Genomic DNA, 22221 nt, shown 5'->3' on the forward strand with positions numbered 1-22221 from the left:
GGTTCCCTGACAATAAGTAGTGGTGATGCTATCAATTTCTTTACCTTAACCTATCTTAGTTCATTGCTTTGGTTGAAATTCAGCCCAAATAGAAAACTGTTTCATTAGGTAGGGTTGTATATCATAATATGTGTATAGGAGACACCACTGATGTGACATAGCCCATCCTTGAAAGTATGAAATAATTTTTCTATGCATTTACAATATATTTTCTGTAAGAAGAGAAGTATGGGAAGGAATAGAAAGTACACTATGAGTTAATTTAGTATTGTCTGTTAATATCGGGGCTATGCTTGAAAGCTTGCAGCTGACACTGAAACCATGAAGTAAAGCAACCATCTTGGTTTATTTTATCAGCAATTAAATACATTTTGTTGCCCAGAATTTGGCTTAATGTTGGAAAAAACCCCCCAAACTAGAGTTAATTGAATTCCATAAATCAATTAAAATGTGATATTAATATCAATGGTAGGAATGTCTATGGTGTTATAGCAATTTATGAGGACTTTTGCAGTCTATATTTTTTGTTGCCATTAACAAAGCCCACAGATTCTGATGTTTGCATAAAACAATATTTGAAGAAAGGAGGGAGAAAGTGATTGTTTTTACTTTCACTTGATCTTCCGGCTCAATTACACTTCAAGGTCAATGATGCTATAAAATAAGCTAAAAATAGCTTCGTAGGCATAGGAGATCATCCAAAAGGTGTGTGGATTTCAAACCAACCCAAAGAGAAGGTAAGATTTCTTCCGCTAAGTGATGGCCACCAGATGGCTGTGCATCTCAAGGAATGGAGGGAGGACGTCTCTTCTGGACCAGAACTGCCAAAGTCCACCATGAGCACTACCTCTCTGCTCTAAATCAAAGAGACAGGGATGAAGATCTGAAAGCGTTTAAATATTTCAAATCTTGCAGAAAACCTTGGAGAAACAATCTTGCCAACTGCAAATGTGTGATTGCTGAGATTGAATCCTGGGTGATTCTGAATGGAATATTTATTAGCTTTTAAATCTTGTGAAGCCAGGGCTGTCCTTCTCAGAACACAGGCTGTAGCCCTTTATGTGGCAAGGTGTGAGTCTCTATTGCAGGGGCTCTTCTTCTGAATTCATATTCTCTCCTTAGGTGATCATATTGACCCCTGTGATTTCAATCTACACCCATGATTATGACCTATAGCTCTATCTGCTACCTACTCAATATCTTCATTTTAACATGTTTCACAGAAGTCTTTAATTTCACAGACCTCACACTTCACTCTAATGCTTGGTCCCCTGCAACCCACAGTGTTTCCAGTGTTTGCCAGTTTATCATCCAGCCAATCCCTAAAACTAGAAATCTGGGAGTCATTTTTTAAACTCCTCTCTCTTCTTCACTCCTAATATCCTTTAAATCTTAGGGCTTGTTCATTCTCTAAGTTTTTTTTTGCTACCGTTACTGCTTTTACTCTGCCTTCTTCCCCAGCCCATGGTTTTGCACAGAACGTCTAAATAATATCTTTGATTTCATTCTTGCTCCATTCCTATGTATCTTCTGTAGTCAGTGACCCTTAAAAATGTAAATCAGATGGTGACACTTTTGATCTTACCTTGATCACTACCACTCTCTACTGAACCTCTATGAGGCAGTCACACTGATTCTCTTTCCATTTTTGTTTTGTTATTTGCAACCTCGATGCCTTGGACCATAATGTTACCACTGTTTGGGATGTCATTTCTCTCCTTTTTATTCCCCTCCTCTAAGTAGGATCTTGTCTTTCAAAACTCACCTCAAATATCACTTGCTCAGAAAGCTTTCCCTAACTCAGAAAACTAGGTTAAGGCCTCTGTTTTATTATGTGCTACTTCCCCGATGTTGTACTTATCACATCGGTAATCACTTGTTCATTGTTTCTTGCTAAACTTTTAGTGCCATGAAGAAAAATGACCACGTCTGTCTTGGCCATTGCTATATCTTCTGTGTGTAGCACAGTGCCTAGGATATAGTTGTCATTCAATATGTATTTGTAGAATGGATTACCTCATGAATGCAAATATTAGTGAGAATTGAAAGAATGAACTAATAGACATAATTTAATTCTTTTAAATGGTGGCCATTTGGGTAGAGCATTTTGGGTGGTGTAGGAACGGAGTGGGCATGCTTCAACACTCTACTATAAAGGAAGAATGTGGAGCCTGGTTAAAAGCACTCTAACCACATTTCTTCTGGAATATGCCCTGGGTCTGTGATCTTCCTGTAGTGGTCAGGGAAGTCTTACTAGTTCCTGATCCTGGCGCAGCGAGGAAGGAAGGAGCTTGAGAGTAAATGTGTGGTTGGCTCACTATTTTATTACTGGACTTAAGTCAGTTGTGTTAAAGGGCAGTAATATGACAAAAAGAGGCCCTTTGTCTCTTTTTCTGCAGGAACTTGGCAAAGGAACATAATGTATATGTAAAGTCTAAAGTAATGCCATTTAATAGAACTTTCTGTGATAATGGAAATGTTTTATATCTATACATCTGTTATAGAAGCCATTACTCATATATGCCTTTTGGGCAATTCAAATGTAGTAAATGCAAATTAGGAGCTGAATTTTTTATTTTGCTTAATTTCAATGAATATTGAAATTTAAATTTCAGCTAATTTATATTTAAATTTAAATAGCCATACATGGGTAGTGACTACTGTATTAGACTGTATTAGATAGGTCTAGAGGATATGAGTTTTGTTGAGATGAAGATGGCAGAGCACATAGAATGTTTTGTTCTGAAGTTGCCCTGCATTACAAAGAATCTGAGTTATGAATTTGACATGCTTTTATTTATAGTGATGCTCCCTTTCCAACAAGAATGTTAAAATAAAATCTTTCTGGATAAGAAGTAAGATGTGGATTTCTTTTGAAAAGAAAATGTAAGGGACTTGCTTCTAAGCCTAGCTTCTTCTCATTCTTGGAGTGTGCTATCATCTTCTAATTCAGTACAGTGGCTTTCACTTCCCATCAGATAAAAAGAGATGCCTCAAACCAATTCCGAAAGCTACTTTTGGAAAAGCATTGGTTGAGTTTTCATCCTGACTCCTAGGATAACAAATAGTAAGTCTTCAAACAAAGCAGCAGCTATGCGAATTCTAGAATTTTGATATGTATTGTTAATGTTGGTATCGTACCACTTGATGCTTTTATGACATGTATCATGACATCAAGTACTGCACAAAATTAAATTCACATTCTAACACTTGTTTAAGTTTAGTTGGTTAGGATAGTGCTGGCTTAACATTTTTAATGTATTTAGTACATGAAAAGTACATAACATTCTCCTTTGTGTACATAGTACACATATAAAATTCAAGCCTGTGTTTGCACAGCATATGAGGGTAAATGGATAAGCCAGGACATGGCTACAGGAGGCTGGCCCAATGGCTTTAAAGGATCTGGGCTCTGCCTAGCTCTGCTGAGGGCTGTGGAAATTGTTAATTCTGCCCAACTGTAACCCATTTGTCACACTGTAGTTGGTAAACTCTGTTGACTTGGTGCTCAGGTGTTGAGATAATGCTTCCTAAAGTTTAATGTGCATATGAATCACCTGGGCATTCTGTTAAAAGGCAAATTCTGACTCAGCAGCCCTGTGACTGGGCCTGAGATCCTGCATTGCTAACAAGTTCTCAAGTGATTCTAATGCTGCTGGACTTCACTGTGAGTAGCAACGTGCTAGGGCATAAATTTGATTTCATTTTGATTAGTTTTACACTGAAACATCTTCCTCCATCACTACAAAACTTATTCTTCAGTCCTGATGACTATGATGTTGTGGTATCAGTCCAGGTAAAAGTGAATAAAAATTTTTATTTAAACTTGTTTCTGGGATTAGAAAAATATAGCTCAATATACACTGAGAGGAAGTTGGTAGCTATGTATTTACATTTCTCTTTTTGAGGTAATCTTTAGCAGTAGAGGAGTTGCTTCATACCTACTGTGATCTCACACAATTTATATAGTGACATATACAACTTCCAGGCTTTCATATTCCGTTACATCTCTCAATACTTGTGAATTTTCTAAAATGCTTCCTTGAATTTGATGCCCTCGGGAGAAAGGTCTATATCCTCATAACCACACTTGTGACAAATTAGCCCAAGCTTCTGGATTATCAAACTTTTCTTCAGTTCTCATCATGCTCTTGTAAAATTATGACCTCAAGCTTTAACTTTTTGGTCTATTGCTTATACAGTAAAGCAAGCAAACAAACAAAATCAAGTGCCATGCACATGCACAGATAAATATAAACATATGGATCAGCACACACTTGTGGAAATTTAAACCAATATTAGTGGGAAAGAAATATAAACAAATATTATGATTATTAATACAAATTAGTAACCAATTAGGTATAAATATGCACTCTCCAGTGTCTTCTTAATTTCAGATTAAGGTGACCTCCAATCAATAGCCAGCAAAAAGCCAGGGCCCTAAGTATTATACCTACAAGGAAAAAATTTCTATCAACAACTTCAATGAATTTGGGTGCAGATTTTTAAACATAAATTTTAGGTAATTCCCACAAGGACCTCTTTTTGCTGCCTTACTTTTTTTCTCCTCCCCTTTCTTATATGAAATAAGATGGTTACTTTGGTAATTGATGAATAATTTATTACAAAATTTGTTTTAGCAGCTAAAATAATGGTGCATGTAAATATTGGTATCTACATTGATAAAAGCTTCTTAGAGTTGACATTGGGATGTGCTAGATTTGAAGTAGATTTTTATCATTCTCTGACAATTTTCTCAGATAATACAAAACCAATTAATGCATCCCTGATTAGTTTTTGACAGAGGTTTTCTTTGAAAGATAACACAGCTTAAATTCACAGAGCTTCTTCCCTTAAGGAATTTAGATTGCTCATTCTTTCCTTACCAATAATTTAGTTTCATTTTAATTTCTTAAAACCTGTTTCTTTACTTGCCCTGCCTAGCCCAGTTTACAGTAGTGCCCCACCTGAGACTCTGGGGTGGGCCAGCGTGTGTTTTAACCAGCCCCGCCAACCATCCTCGTGTTTGAGCAGCATGGATTTATACCACCACTCCACACTGGGCTGCCTCAGCAGAAACCTGGAGAAAATTCTTCTAAGTCCTTTCTTTTACCTCCTGTATTAAATTCATTTGCTCAAGCCTCAGACATAGCTCTCAAAAATCCTTTTTTCCCTCTCTGTTTCGATGTCCACTGTGTTAGGTCAAGTCCTTATAATTTTTCTCCTGGTCCATGGCAGAGGCCTCTATCAGGTATCTCTGCTTCCTTTGTCACCTCCCCCACTCCAGTCCATTCTCCATACTGTGATTAGAGTAACCCTTTAAAACACACTTAGGCTTATTATACCATTCCTGGCAAGATCCCTTATGTGAAACTGAGTTCTGTGTGAAAGAGTCCATGGTTGTGGGCATAGCCAGTAGACCTGTTCTCCACTGACTCCTCCTAACCTTGGGGGGTCTTACTTTGATATCCTATCTTTCCTTTCCTTCACTTGTATCCCAGGCTGTAATTACTCTGAGCCACTTTAGATTTCTCAAATGTGATCTATTCTCTTATTTTTTTCAGGCATTTCTTATGCTGCTCTCTCTACTTGACTTTCTTTCTGTACTTGGCATTCTCCTATTGACTCCTCAAGATCCATTTCACAAGTCACTTTATTTCTGGAACATTATATTACTCTCGTTCATCTTTCTCAGCATAATTAATTACTTCTTCTCTGTATTCCCAAAGGCCTATGTACATAGTTCTTTTATAGGACTTACCACTAAATAAAATTTATGAATGCATGTGTGTTTTCCCTAAGGATTTAAAACCTCTGAAGGCAAGGATCAGCTTTATTCATCTTTGTATCTCATGCTCCTGGCACTTAGTAAAATGCTCTGTAGTTGAGTGTTGAACTGGGTGTGCCAAGCCTTGTTTTTTTCATTAATATATAAGGCAGAACATGTCATCTTTGTTTTATAGAAGAAGGGAGAGCTCTTACTCCACAGCCATAAGCAGGTCAGTCAATGACCTCAGAAGGAGCTGGGTATATGTAATGCTGAAAAGTTGATCCTGGTTCATGGTGAACAGCAGCCCTATCCCCTTCCCTGAAGTTATCTGTCTGTCTTCTACCCCATTAGCCTATTAGCTTCCGAGGCAAGTACCATGTCCTTGTCTCTCTTATCTTCGTGTCCCTAGATCCTAGGAGTATTCATTTTTTACGAGTACTGTGACAAATTTCCACACTCTTGAACACATGGAAGTGGATTCACTGGGTGTCACCTTAGGATCGGTCTGCCAAGCTGCCCCCAACACCAAAATCAACCATCAGGCCATTAATGGCTTAATACTTCTGGAGGTCAGAAATTATAAATAGTGATAACTGGGCTTATATCAGGGTATTGGCAGGGCTGAACTCCACTTTGGAAGCTCTAGGGAAGAATTCAAATTCTTGTCTTTTCCCGGCTTTTAGAGCTTGCCCACATTCCTTGGCTTGTTGTATCATTCCATCTTCAAAGCCAGCAATGACCAACTGAATCCTTCTCACATCGTTTCATTCTGACACTGTCTCTTCTGCTCCCTTCTTTCATTCATAAGAACGCTTGTGATTGTATTGAACCTACCTGAATAAATCAGGATAATCTCTCTATCTCCAGACCAGCTGATTTGCAATCTTAATTTCATCTGCAACCTAAATTCCCCTTTGCGATTTATTTGATAATATTCACAGATTCTGGAAATCAGGAACTAGACATTATGTTTTTCTAGTGATGGTGGTTGGGGGATGACATTATTCTGTATTCTATACTAGCATAGGGCCTGGCTCATATCAAGAGATCAATAAGCTTTGCAGAATGAATGGACAGGGTCTGTAGGGAGTGTGGCTTGGCTATAGGCAGTCAGAATGACTTTGAAAGCAATGGTGATTGAAGAGGAATTGGAGGATGCTGAGGGAGAAATTTCTTGGTAAGAGTGGAGTGTTTCAGCCATAGGGCCTGATGGTTGATTTTGGTGTTAAGGGCAGCTTGGCAGGCTGACCCTCAGGTGACACACAATCAATCCACTTCCTAGTGTTCACAGCTGTGTGTAATACTCTCCCTTTGGCTTTGGGCAGGAACTATTAGTTGCTTCTAGGCAATAACATGAGACAATGAGATGGCACTTTCATGCTTAGGTATTTACATAGCAAAGGTGATGGATGTCATTTCTGTGACTGCTATAGATTATATGAGTTCTGGAACTGGAGACTCCTTGTGGGCCTGATGAAGTAAGCAGTCATGTTGGAGAAGCCAACACTGCAGGGAGCCTTTAGGAATAATGGGAAGCTTCCGGGACCTGGAGGTGACCTCCAATCAATAGCCAGCAAAAAGCCAGGGCCCTACGTATTATAGCTACAAGGAAGCAATTTCTATCAACAACTTCAATGAATTTGGGTGCAGATTTTTACTCATTTGAGCTTCCAGATGAAAATGCAGCCCAGCAGCTTTGTAAAACCCTGAGCAGGGGACCCAGTTAAGCCATGCCTTGACCTAAGGAAACTGTGAGATAATAAATGTTTTGTTTTAAGCTACTGAGATTGTGGTAATTTGGATTCGGCAATAGAAAACAAATGCCAGCAATTTGGGAATTACGGAATAGATGGCAGTAGGAGCTGCCCTGCTCAGGCTTATGGGGGAAAGAGTTCTTGACTGTATGTTTACCTCCATTTTACAGCTGGAACTAATGACGACGAGCAAGCCGAAACTCATTACTCTTGATTCAATGGTTAGTGAAAAAGATGGGAAGAGAATGTATTATTCTGACTTCTGCTGGAATTCCTTCCAACCCTTCCTGGGGCCATTGATTCTCTTGGAATTGAAGTTCATAGCAGGAGACTTTGCTTCATTAATCCTCACAGCAGAGCTCTAAAAGAAGTCTTCTGGAAGCCTTGTTGGGATTCTGTTTTCTTTCAAATAGAGTCACAGAGTCACAGAGAGATCCCACCTAGCTAAAAGTTACAGTAAAGATTTAGGTAAATAGCTGGGCATGGAATGAATAAGATTAATTATGCTTAGCAGTTATTATAATTACATGCAGGCTTTTGAATATACTGCTTAACATTCCTACACTACTTAAAAAATTATCTATAAAGATCAGTCAAAACTCAGCTTTAAAAAAATGTATTTGAAGGATCTATTTTAAATTTATCAATAATATTTAGGTGAAGATTTTAACACATGTAAATGATTTCAAAAATTCTTTGACCTAACCACTTTCCTCATTTCACAGGTAGAGTTATTGAGTGTGGAAAGATTAAGTGAATTTTCCCACATGGTTACACAGCTAATTCTTACTAATCCAGTTTCCAAGATTAGAGTTTCATATTGTTTTCACCTATAAACTCTACAATAGGGATTTATGGAAGATAGTAACAGTGCACTAAGTTCACACTCCTACCTTAAACAGAACCACATATATCTTAAGCATCTCAGACCCATAATTATCTGTTTTTCTAAATAATCCTAAAGGAGGTAATATTCCTTGGTGCTTTAGCTTCAACTTCAATTAATGTCTACTGGCATTTTAAATAATCATCATCCTTATATTCCTTGGTTAGGTATTGGTTATGGTCTGAGGTGTGGTACAGGCCTGTAAATTCTTTTGTTTTGGGTGGGACCAAGGACAAGGGGATTGAGGTTATATCATCTTTGCCTGAGTTGGGGCACCAGGTAGAAATCTGTTGCAGATGACTTGCCCAAGAGCATACAGCTAATTAGTGACAGGCTTAAAACTTGGAAGCTCTTAAATATCACAACTATTATTTGTTTGTTTGTTTTTCTTGATTTTGTATATTTGCTACTGCTACACTGTTTATCTACCACACTCGGTCATTGCCACAACACAATACACACACACATACACATCTTTGCTCTTCTACTAACTTCCTGGAGTTGGTGGTGGTGCTGATAGTCATGGCATACGTCCACAAAAATATTTTGAATGCTCATAATAGCGGCAGTGTGGTTAAGTAGAAGAATCAGGTTTTGACTTACTACAGGGAAACTGAATCTTCTGAGTCTCAGTGTCCTCATCTATAAGCTGAAAGCAAAGAGTTAATAGTGAGAATAGGTGTGGGAGCCTCCTGGGGCAAGGCTGGGATGGTGGGGTCCAGTGTTTATGTTGCTGGGAGTATGGCTACCTTGGAAGTCGCAAGTGCTTTGTATATTCCAAAGTGTTTCTCTCTCTCTCTCTCTCTCTCTATATATATATATATATATAGTGATATATATAGTGATATATAATGATATATATATTTAGTGATATATACAGTGCTATTGTTACTCCATATCAGGCATTATGATGAATGCAAGAGAAATATTGTCAGATATATAGTCCTTGCATTCAATAAAGGTATACTGTAGTTATAATCTCAGGATATAAAGGGTATAACAGGATGGAATATGCTGAGTGGCCAGTGCATGGCAAAGATAAATACCTAGAGAGAAGTGAGATGGCTATGAAATGGACAATTGAGATGACTATGAAGTGGACAATTGGGAAGACTTTGTGGAGAAGTGATGACTTGAGCTGGGTCATGAAGGACATGTAGCAGACAACAAGGCACCATCTTAGGCAGGTGGAATGCATCAAGCAAAGGCATGGAGGTTGCTCAAGGAGTGGCTAATATACAAAAGAGGAAATGTGACAAATATTTACGGAGTAGAATTAAGTCAGAGCAGATATTTACATCAAAGCTTAGAATTTTATTATGCTGGCAACAGGGAACCACAGGTGACTTTTGAGCAGACGTAGTCTGTCCAAAGTGAACAGCTTTGGACAGGTTTAGGAAGCTTACTTTTGCAGGAGTGTAGATTGGTTTCTAGTAGGGAATAAGGCAGGGAGAGCTGCTTATTCTTTTTTCTCCTCAGCAGTTGTGGGGCAATTGGATTGCTGCTTTCTAAATGATAATTAGAAAAGTGTTGAGATTATGTGAGGCTCTCCTTGTTTCTGGAGTACCAGATTTCTGGAGTACCCTCGTCTCCCATCCCTGCATAGGCCTCTAAGTCCTGCTCCTCACTAAACACACAAAACCTCAAGGCTGATTGCCTGGTGTTAGTTTTGAGTCAAATTATTTTAATGACCAGCAATTACATTACAGAGCCACTGATAACAAAAGCTCATTTTTTTTTCTCAAGGTACAAGGAAAGGAGAAAGAATCTTGAAGTCTCATAAGAGAAAAGATCTTTTTTTCCTGTTCCTCTCCCTCCTCCGAACTTCCACCCTCCAAAAGGCCCCAGTGTGTGTTGTAAATAACTAATGGGTACTAGGCTTAATACCTGGGGGTGATGAAACAATCTGTACAACAAACTCCCATGACACAATTCCACCTGTGTAACAAACCTACACTTGTACCCCTGACCTTAAAAGAGATCTATTAAGGAAAGGAGACCTATTGCATCCATTCCTGACCGAGCAAGATTTTTTTTTCTTCTCTATCTGTTGACCATGTTTTATGTATTTTCAGTTAACTGTCTGATCAATGACTATTTTACTTCTTCTAGTGGAAGTATTTTCAATAGGTTGTTTCACTTATTGCCATTGACATTTTTCTGCTTTTCAACCAGAATATGTATATAATAATTTGCTAATATTTTTGTGCCTGTTTATGTAAAAAGTAGTATTTGAGTGACTATAAAAATAATATTCTTATATTAAGTACTGTCCACTTAAAAGCTACAGCCAACAAGAATACGTTATTTGTATTTTGAACTTCCTTCTTTCATAGGCATACTAGTCATTAATTCAAAATCAAATTAGGAAAAAAGAAAAAAAAGGCCGGGCACGGTGGCTTACGCCTGTAATCCCAGCACTTTGGGAGGCTGAGGCGGGTGAATCACCTGAGGTCGGGGGTTCAAGACCAGCCTGACCAACATGGAGAAATCTCGTCTCTACTAAAAATACAAAATTAGCCTGGCGTAGTGGCACATGCCTGTAATCCCAGCTACTCGGGAGGCTGAGGCAGGAGAATTGCTAGAACCCAGGAGGCGGAGTTTGTGGTGAGCCAAGATCGTGCCATTGCACTCCAGCCTGGGCAACAAGAGTGAAACTCCATCTCAAACAACAACAACAGCAACAACAAAAACAGAATTAGTGTAATTCTAATCATTAAAGTGACAAATGAACATAAACATGATGGGGAAACAGTAGAATAATCCATGAGAATTTTATTTGTATTCAAATGAAAAAATAGAGAAAGAAAAAGTGCTTCATCTTCTGTATAATTAAAGAGGATTTTGAGTTGGAGAATATTGCTCTATGACTTATACAATATCTTCTCAACTCATTAGAATTCATCACATCTTTGGTTTGGATTTAAGTTAGTGACACTTTTACAAAAACAGCAAACTTTTAAAATCAGAAAAAACCCCAATATTCATTCAAATTCATGTAGGCTTCTCTTTATATGGCTTTAATTTTTTTCATCAGATTGATCATACTTTCTAGTCCTGTTTTGTTCATCAAAATGTAAACCTGTGTCTCAGTTGCTTCATCGAAACTACTGGTTCTCCCTTCAAGGATGTTGTTAGGGAAAAGTGGTTAAACGACAATGAATATCTTATAATGCACAAATGCTCTCCATATTTTTAATAGCAAAGAATAATTTGTTTTTCTTTTCCCTGACAAAATGTTTTATCAAGTAACACTTTTAAATACATGAATGAAGCCTATGAGAGGAGAGTTTATTATTATTAATTGTTATTATTATTTTCTGATGCTTGTATGACCTTGGGTAAGTTACTGGACCTCTGCCACATGTTGTACATCTGGACCACTCATGAAGATGTGTGCAGGTAGACAGCCCTCAATTCCAATGTGCTGACCTCCACAAATCCCAAATACCTACCTTGGCCCCACAACATTCCTTTACCAGTGACACATGAAAAAGAGAAAATTAAAAAATAGTTTTATTGCAAAATTTCTGCCTTGACCTCTCAAGTGGACACCCTATACCCATACTCATCTCAGATCTAGAGAGAGGAGCAGTCGTGTCATGCCTCTGCATGCTTACACGGTTCTGTTTAACTTGGCCTTGAGACTGGGGCTCTGAGCCCAGAGGGCCACTGATAGTACTACAGGCTGTCTACTGTGATGAATGCCTGATTCTCCACACTTGTGCTCTTTCCATAATGCTCCCATGGCCATCTGCATTTTTGGCTCTGGCATCAGGCAGTAGGGTTTGGTGGTGGCAGCAGTGGAGAGGAAATCCTGAGCACTCCAGATCCACTGAAAGGAGGGTACATCTTAGGGAGCTTTCTACTATGAGCCTCATGTTTAATACTTCCCATGTTTATTGACATTTTAGTGACAATCTGCTGAGTTTCCTTTGTAGTTTTCATTTATTAGATTTGTAATGAAGCAGAACTAACCTCTTTTACCCAGCAAACATTGGCGCCTTTCTCCCTTGCTTCCTTAGCACTCCAGAGGATGGCTTTGATATTATCATACAGGTGATTACGGGACAGTCTGGGGCAAAGCTCAGATATTTGGGAATGAAGAGAGTTAGAAAACATGCCAGGCCTATAAACCACCATAATGGAAATAAGAGAACAACCTGTTTGGATTCCAGAGAGAATTTCATTTTATGAAAATGAAAATTCAACCTTGGGGAAACCCAGTTTGAGGAGCTTTTTCTGACCTTCATAGTTTTTAGCTTGACTTCTTAGCAAAAGGAGAGAAATCAATATAGCATAAGCAATTTCTGAGCAGCAAAGAATATGAATAGAATTTCAAAGGTTTTTTGGGAGTGGGATACTTTTAGATACATTCTGAGAGAATCAAGTGGCTTGGAAAGAACTGGTTATTCCAAGGTTACTGTTTGGGGAGCAGAGACAGAAAGTGGGAAGGGGAGCCCTATAATGATAATGTTGGGGACCGAATAAGTTGAGAATAAACCAGAGCACAGCAGTTTTTCTAAGCCCCAAAATAATTTATTTCTTGTAAACTATTGGATTAAGTCAAAGAAGCAAAAGCATTAAGTACCATGAGATTTTAAACTCAAACTAACCCAAAGCATTCTCAAAGAATTTATTTTCTGTGATGGTACAAATGATGTATACTTAAACATTTTTTAAACGTTGTACTTAGTTTAGATTTTTCAGCCTTCCTGCAGCCTCTGGCTGCTGAGAATCTACTGAAAAATCTTCTTTGTAACCTATGTATACTAGTAAATCTCTGCTGCTTGCCTGTCATCTGTCTCATATAAATGAGGCAGTGCAGATGGCTGGAATGCTAGGGCTGGCTGTTGCCTGCCTTAAGAATGGTGTGGGAAACGAGGTCAGGAGGTCGAGACCATCCTGATCAACGTGGTGAAACCCTGTCTCTACTAAAAATACAAAAATTAGCTGGACGTAGTGGCGCGTGCCTGTAATCCCAGCTACTCGGCAGGCTGAGGCAGGAGAATAGCTTGAACCAGGGAGTCGGAGGTTGCAGTGAGCTAAGATCGCGCCACTGTACTCCAGCCTGAGCGACAGAGAGAGACTCCATCTCAAAAAAAAAAAAAAAAAAAAAAAATGGTGTGGGAAAGCAGGACACTAGACTTATGAAGCTGATTGTAAAGACTTAAACACCAACAAGAAAGACAGGGTGCTTGTCTTCATCAGCTGGTTATGGATATGCTTCTCTAGCATCTTCCCTGGACGTCTACCCTGCCTTCCACCACCAATTTCCTTCTTTTCCTGGCCCAAGATAATTCCTCAAATTCTGCATTATGGAAGAAGAGAAGACTATGATTTTCCAAAAAGTTTTCTCCAGCACATTTTTTCTTATTGAAGTCTCCTTTATCTAAAAAAATTAAATGTCTTTTAAATTTAAAACACAATTAGAAAATAAGCACAGCCAAAACTTAAGTAGCTGATGGGTTTTGTAAGGGGTTAGACAAGTACTCTTCTTTCCTACCTATCCCAACTTGAGCTGTGTCCTAGTCTGTTTTCTGCTGCTATAACTAAATACCTGGGACTGGGTAATTTACAAAGAAAAGAGGTATATTTCTTATGGCTCTGGAGGATGGGAAGTCCAGATTAGGTGACTACATCTGGTTGGCATTTGGTGAGGGCCTCGTGCTGTGTCATAGCATGGCAGAGGGCATCCCAGGGTGAGGGGGTGAGCTCAGAGCCATGTTGGCTTTTGTAACAGATTTACTCTCATGATAACTAACCCATTCCTGTGATAACCCATTAATCCATTAAACCATTAATCCATGAATGGACCTGATCACCTCTTAAAGGCCCCATCTCTTCATATGGCTACATTGCAGACTAATGTTCAACATAAGTTTCAGATGGGACAAAGGGAAACTTTCAAGGGCATCCTATTCACCAGTTTGCAGGAAGCCCTTCTGACCACTCAAGAGCCTCCTGAGTTTTCCTTCTCTGAATTCTTATCATATTAATAATCTATTCCACACCAGTAGGACTAGTTTGACTCATGTCCTTCCTAATCTCTTGTGAATGTAAATCAAGTAGTTATATATCTCAACTTGAAATTATAATCTTTTGAGCACGAGAGCATCTTACACTTCTATATCTGCACATTGTACACATGTAATAAGTGTAGTTGGATGTTGACAAGTATTGAAGAAGCAGATAAAGTCTTCAAAGATAAGAATTTGTATATTTTTTATATATCTCATTAAGTAATGGGGACATTTAATACATACTAAATATCATAGCACCACAAAAATGGAGGAAGCACTTCTTAGATTCTAACAGAATCCCTGTCTTTTCTGTCTTGATCTATATTTATTCTTCCTGTAAGTAACAAGCACATGGTTGAGCTATACATAATTCTTTCATTTAAAGGCAGTTGTTCCGAATCAAGAAAAACAAAATTAAATAAATTCTGAGAAGGGAATGAGCAATAGTAACAGGCTCAACACTCTTTTGTTAGGGGATTAAAGCATTAATCATCCTATTATCTGCTATTTTGAGCTTTGCCAAAGTTGCTAGAGGTCAATAGGAATTAGTTCCAATTAAAAAACTTTAGAACTTTCCTTCTTATATCACCTACTGTTTTGGATTGAAAGAAGATGGACGATGATAACATGGTCCCGATAGTCTAATTGCAGTTTCTTTCCATTTTTTGCTAAGAAGTTGTAGAAAAGGTCACTTTGGATTTTAAAAATTAAGAGCTTCATTGTCAGAGTTATCACTAATGCATATAATTACTATTTTAGATTATCAAGAAGGTCTAAAGACAGACATTTTATTTTAATATTCACTGTTAAACTGCATTAGTGACATTTGCTAATAACCTGAGGAAGTTACCTACTGTGGTGGTGAGTTTTGAATTGTAAAGTTTAGCGTTTTGACATGGCATGCCAACACTACGTATAATACACATAAAAAGTAAGAATTAATAAATATGTCAATTAAAACTGTTAAAAACCTGAACTAGTCCCCAATAACTTCATCAGGAAAGACAAAATGTAATAAACAGTAGCAGTTATTTCTTGACAAACTGCCGAATAGACTGGTTTGCAGAATTGCTACAGTTCACATTTAGAAAGTTAAGAGAGAGTCCTGGCAGATTGAGATTGGCAGGTAAACTAATTCTGAAGTGGTAAACATGGGTAGGTTAATTGTTGAAGCAGCAAGATAATATCCTTCAGAGAATGCTTCCTTACCTGATGCATTGATTAAAAAATAAAAATTCAATGTTTCCAGTCTTTAGATAACTAGTTTGTAATATTAAGAAAATATTGGATAATTATCCAGCTTTTGGTATTTTTCAATCATTCTTCAAACATCTTTCCTGGGCAGTGAGATGAAAGCTCAATGTCTCATTACCAGCTGTTAGGTTTATTTGTGCATATTATTAAAATACTTAGTGGCCAGTTTATTTAGTTATTTGGAGAAAGAAGAAAGATGACTCAGTTTAGATGTTTCTGTCTACTCAGCATAGGGCTTGGGGTCAAGAGAAAGTGATCTCAAACCTACTATAGAGATAAATCTATTTTATTGTTCACAGAGAGATTTTATTAGCACACATTTAAAAAGTTGCTTTATTTTTACAATTATGAAAGTAACAAATACTCATAATGGATAATTTGTGAATTGGAAAGGAAAAAATAAAATAGCATCATATAAAGAAAACTATTAACATTTTACTTATTTATTTACTTTTACTTTTTCTATGCAGAACCTTTTTATACACAGTTCTCCAGTTCATCTGTAGTTTAGTTTTGCATATATTTTTTTAGCTCAATGTTATGACCTAAGATTGTCCCCACCCATAACAATGCAAATTATTGTTGGATATGTGGGTTCTATTTAGTGAGGATTCCATAACTTATCTAGCCATTCTCATGTTGTTGAATATTTACATAGTTTTCAATTTTTCATTATTTTTGTAGAGATGCAGTGGAAATCTTTGTGAACTAGACTTTTTTTGGTACCCTGGGTTATTTTTTTGGTGTTAAATCATTGATGTAAAATTTTTAGTCTAAAGAGCATGATAATATAAGATGACAAAAATGGAAGTTTTGGTTGAGGTAACAAGATGTGAGAGATAACACATTCCGTAGGTGATGTCAGAAAACATGCCAAATTTTTAGATTATTAAAAGTCAGTTATATTGGTCTTAATTCTTTTGTAACATCGAGAATATTAAAGGGTCACAATTTGAATATCAAAGGGAATTTGGGGTACCAGTTGTTCATTTGCTGTGTCTCCCAGAATTGAATGGGGTTTGCCTGCTCCTTTCCTCACCCTAGATAATTTAATGTGTCCCTATAGGTTTGAATGACATGGTGGACCTGTTTCTGACTCGTGCTTGAGAGATCTGAGATGAGTGACTGTCTGGCTAGATGCTGTACTGAGGGTACAAAGGAGAAATTGATGAATGAGGAAACCCTGAACTCCTGGAGTTTGTCAGAGGAAAGAATGTGTGATAATTTCTCATGAGCCATATATTATCAGAGTTAACATAACTTCATCCTCGGTCCCATCCAACAAAGTTGTTTGACATGGCAGCAGATTCCTGGAGGCTGAATAGTGTCAAGCCTGGAAAAAAAATTCATTTGCTGTTGTTGAGGATACTGTAGGTCTCTGAAAACTTTTGAAAGATAAAGGAGGAAGAGGGGGAATAGAAATAATGGTGTAAGAAGAAACAGTTTAAATTTTGAACATGTTGAACTTAAGGTACTTGTAAAACATCAAGATGGAAGTGCCTAGCAGGGAAGTACGGTGCAAGGTTGGAGCTGAAAGAGTCCTTGACTAGAGATGTGGATACTGACATAATCACATGTAGATGAATGTTGGATGTTTGAGATAGTCTAAAGAGGATGCAGACTGAGGTGAGAAGAATGCTAAATGCAGAATCCTGGATTGTATCCCCTTGGAAGAGTTTGAGAGTCTAGCAAAAGAGACTAAGGAAGATCTAAGTAAATCCAAGTTGGGAAAGAATTCCAAATAGAATGTGGTTGATAAGGAGGTCAAGTAAGATGGGCATTAAAAGTAACTAGTTTTGGCAAGTAATGGGACATTGGTGATTATATCTGGCTAAGCCTTAGTGTAACTATGGAGACAGGAACCTGATTGTAGTGGATTGAATAATAAATGGGTAGAGACAGGTCATCTTTGAGTGAAGACCATTCTTTTTAGGATCTTGAGTGTAAAAGGAAGGAGAGATACATACTAGTGAGAAAAAGGCTTAAAAAATCAAGTGAAAAACTTGTGCATTTTGTATACACCATGGGGAAGGTCGCAGTGGAGTGGGGAAACAAAATATAGGAGAGAAAGATTAATGACCTAGATTGCATAGAAAACAAGGGAAAATTGGATTAAAAGTCTCCTGGCCTCCTGAATTGGAAATTTAAATAATTTAAGTGGTATAAAGCAAGGAATGCTATGAAACCATAAAAAGAATATTATTCTTTAGAATTGATATGGAAGAGTCTCCAACATATATTATGAATATGAAAAACAAGGCACATAGTGTATTTAGTATGCTACCAGGGTTATGATGAATGGCCAAGTGGATTGTGTACTCATATGTGAGTGATGCCCCTCTGGAATTGTGCTTTGTGTTGTACTATAGATGAGATCCCCTGATGTGAGTCAGCACCTCACATTACCTTTGTTGGAGGACACTTTTCATGATTCTCTGTCTTCCTTTGTTCTGGTCAATATTAACACGTATAATTTTTTGATCATTTAATTTCCCACTTCTCTTATTTAAGAATACCGTACCAATCAGACTAATGGATCAGATTCTCTGCTCTGCTTCATAGCTATGTTTTTTTTTTTTTGAGACGGAGTCTCGCTCTGTCGCCCAGGCCGGACTGCGGACTGCAGTGGCGCAATCTCGGCTCACTGCAAGCTCCGCTTCCCGGGTTCACGCCATTCTCCTGCCTCAGCCTCCCCAGTAGCTGGGACTACAGGCGCCCGCCACCGCGCCCGGCTAATTTTTCGTATTTTTAGTAGAGACGGGGTTTCACCTTGTTAGCCAGGATGGTCTCGATCTCCTAACCTCATGATCCACCCGCCTCGGCCTCCCAAAGTGCTGGGATTACAGGCGTGAGCCACCGCGCCCGGCCAGCTATGTTTTTAATTTAAACATCAGTAAAGTGACCTTCTGATCATAATTTCGGTCTTCATGTCACTTGTTCATGGAAAGAGAATGCATTGGCATACTGGTGTGAGTATTTCTGCCTGATGGTTGAGCCTCTTATAAAAGAATATATTGTCATTCTGGTATATAATATCATCTTTGAGAACTTGATTTATGAGAGCCCAGCCCTTAAAGTCAGTGTGCTAATAAAACCACATTTCTCACCCTGTCTCTGAAAGCTAAAAGCCAGTTCCTAAATTGTGGTGAATTCAGTGAGCACAATTTTACTTTGTGCATGCTCGGTGTAGGCAGTCATCTGGCCTTTTCCTGTTGATTTCCCTTTTCTATGTACCATTTCTATTTAAATGCAGTGGCTTGATGATCTCAGTCTTCTCTGTAAAGAAAGAGGAAAAGTCGTGTACATGAGAAAGTATGGGATAGCAGTGGGATGTGAATGTGTGGAATGGAGAAGAAATCTGAATTGGGGTATGAAAATGATTTTTGAGCCTCGTTACTGATGCAGTTAGGTTGTCCTGGTTTGCTAATGACTTCTGGTTTTTAAGTCTCACACTCCAGAAAATCCTTCAGTTTCAGGCAAACTGGGACCATTGGTCACCCTAGATGTGGCTGACATAGAAGACTAAACATTTATCGAAAAACAAATCTATAGGATTTGGCGATTTTTTTTTTTTTTTCTAGAGAGCTTCTGCAGCCACCGGGTGGAACCATGAAGATGAATATTTGGATTGATCCTAGATCACAAGGAGGTTGCTGAAGAAAGATAATGGGTTGGGGATGTACAGATAGTTGAAATAATCTAGATAGAGCAGGGCAGGAGGTGGGCCAGATGGTCACATGTCTGGGTGACACCCTGGTTCTGTGTCTCCTGTACTGTGACGGGAGACAACACTAGGTGGAAAGCAGCAGACTGTCCTGACCAGGCAATCTTATTTTCCAAACAACTACAGCATGGAAGAGGGCTCCAGTAAGAAAATATAGGCAGCAGGAGCAGGAGACTTTCAAGCAAGAACACCAAATAGCAACCCTCTTCACATCATCCTTTAAGGTTTTGCAGAATCGTAGACTATTGGAACTTGAAGGGACCTCAGCATTGTCCAGTTACTCCCTTGGACATTGAGGAAGGTAAAATACTTCCATTATAAGTGAGTATTTGAAGATTCATTAACATTTTCTCTGTAATTGTGAGAGTGATTAAAGCAATCACTGAATTAGAAGTTCAAGAAGAGAATAAAAATAACCACAACACAAACCGTTAGCCAGGCTATTGCCAGTGTCTCAACAATACGGCTCCAAAAACTTACCATTCCAACCCACTGCTAGAATATGACTGATCCTTGAACAACACAGGTTTGAACTGTGAAGTCCACTTATATGGAATTTCCTCAACCAACGGCAGATCGAACATACAGTATTCGCAGGATGTGGAAACTCACGAATACAGAGGGCATGCTTTTTGTTTATGCTGGTGAGGGTTTTGGCAGATGTGAGTGTTCTGGACTCAATCCCTCATGCATACAGAGGAACAAATGCACTGTCAAACTTAGGAAAAGTAAGACTAATTCTACACACTATATAAACTAAGATTCAGCATTGTCCAGTTACTCCCTTGGACACTGGGGGAGGTAAAATACTTCCATTATAAGTGAGGATGTAAAGATTCATTAACATTTTCTCTGTAATTGTGAGAGTGATTAAAGCAATCACTGAATGAGCAGTTCAATTTAGCTAAGAAGAGAACAAAAATAATCACAACACAAACTGTTAGCCAGGTTATTTCCAGTGTCTCAACAACATGGCTCAATCATATAACTACCGATAAAAGAGTGATGAGTGTTTCAAAGAATAAATTCACTGGTCAATACCGAATTATCTTGTGATCAATGTGTCTAAAATACTATCTGAGTTGCTATTAAATTCAATTCAGAGACAATTATTAAGTTTCTATAACTGTAGGCCAATACTTAGATGCCGTAGGACAGAATTAACACACCACTTGGCCTGCATGGGTTACCTAGTATAGTAGGCAGAATAACACCCTCCCAAAGATGTCCAGTCCTAATTGCCAGAATGTAGGAATATGTTATGTTACACAGCAATGTGAAATTTAGGTTACTAATCAGCTGACTTTAAAATAAGATTATCCTGGATTACATGGTGGATGCTGTGTAAACAAGGCTTCTTAAATGATGGACTGAAGAGGCAGAAGAGTCACTGCCAAAGTGATGCAATGTGAGAAAGCCATTGCTGGCTTTGAAGATGGAAGGAGGCCATGAGTCAAGAAAGGCAGTGAAACTCTAGAAGCTGGAAAAGGCAAGGAAATACATTCTTACCTGCAGTCTCCAGAAAGAATGCGGCCCTGCTGACACCTTGTTTAATGCAGTAAGACCCATTTTGGATTTCTGATCTCCAGAACTGTGAGATGATAAATTTGTGTTGTTTGGAGCCGCTGACTTTGTGCTAATTTGCTACAGCAGCAATAAGAAATTAATACAGAAAATAACATAAAGCAATAAAGGTGAGACATAGAGACAATATGGAATGGTGGGTACCGTGGCCATCTGGAGAGTGCCTGCACAACACGCAGTTCTGATTCAGCTCTAGCCAATATTTCTTTGAGGAAATAAGGGCTCAGAGTTACCAAATTCTATTTTTATTTTTCAAAATAAAATGAATATCCCGACTTATATAAAAGTGACTGTTTCTATTTAATTATTTGCACTATTTTAAGTTAAAAATCTCTTAAACATGTATGCAAATAGATGTGGATGAGAATGTTCATTTCAGTGCTGTCTGTGGTAGCAAAGAATTGGAAACAAATGAAATGTCTATAAAATATGAGTATAAATAAATATAAATATATGATACAAATGCATACTTTAGTCAAAAACAATGAATTGTATATTCTATATGTGTTAAGTAGAAGTGTAAACAGAATGAGATATACAGCATGACACTTCATTTGTTTGGATACAAATATACTCATAAATATATATATAGTTTGTGGGTGCTTATAATGTAAAAATAAAGTTAGGAAAGTGAATTAGAAAAAATTCACATTAATTACATTAAAATGGGTCTGTATGGGGGGATTAAAGAGAGGAATATGATCTGGGATGATAGCTGACAGAAAGCTAGGATGCAGGAGATGACAATAGAAGGTCTATGCACGGACTGATGATGATGATGAACTATGAGCTGGTGCCCCACCCAATTTTGATCACTGTATAGGCTGGAGCACAGAAGACAGTGGATCTAGTCGGAGTCATGCCCACTGGGGATTCAAAGAAAACCAAGATGTAGACCCTCCCTTCAAAATTTTGCAGAGAACTGAGGAAAAACAGGCTGGGTACAGTGGCTCACACTGTGGTGTAAGTACTAAGTACTCTTAGTACTTAGGGAGGCTAGGGAGGGAAAATTTCTTAAAGTCAGGAGTTCTGAGGTTATAGCAAGCTGTGATCGTGCCACTGCACTGCAGCCTGGGTGGCAGAGGGAAACCCTGTCTCTTAAAAGAAAGATATATAAACGAAGCAGAAAAAAAGTGGAATTATTGAAAAGTGAACAAGTTTCATTTATTCATTCATTTATTCAACATTCATTCAAATATTTATTAAGCTCCTTCTATGTTCCCAGC

Source organism: Homo sapiens, chromosome 3, assembly GCF_000001405.40.
Source record: "Homo sapiens chromosome 3, GRCh38.p14 Primary Assembly".
In the NCBI taxonomy this organism is placed as follows: Eukaryota; Metazoa; Chordata; class Mammalia; order Primates; family Hominidae; genus Homo; species Homo sapiens.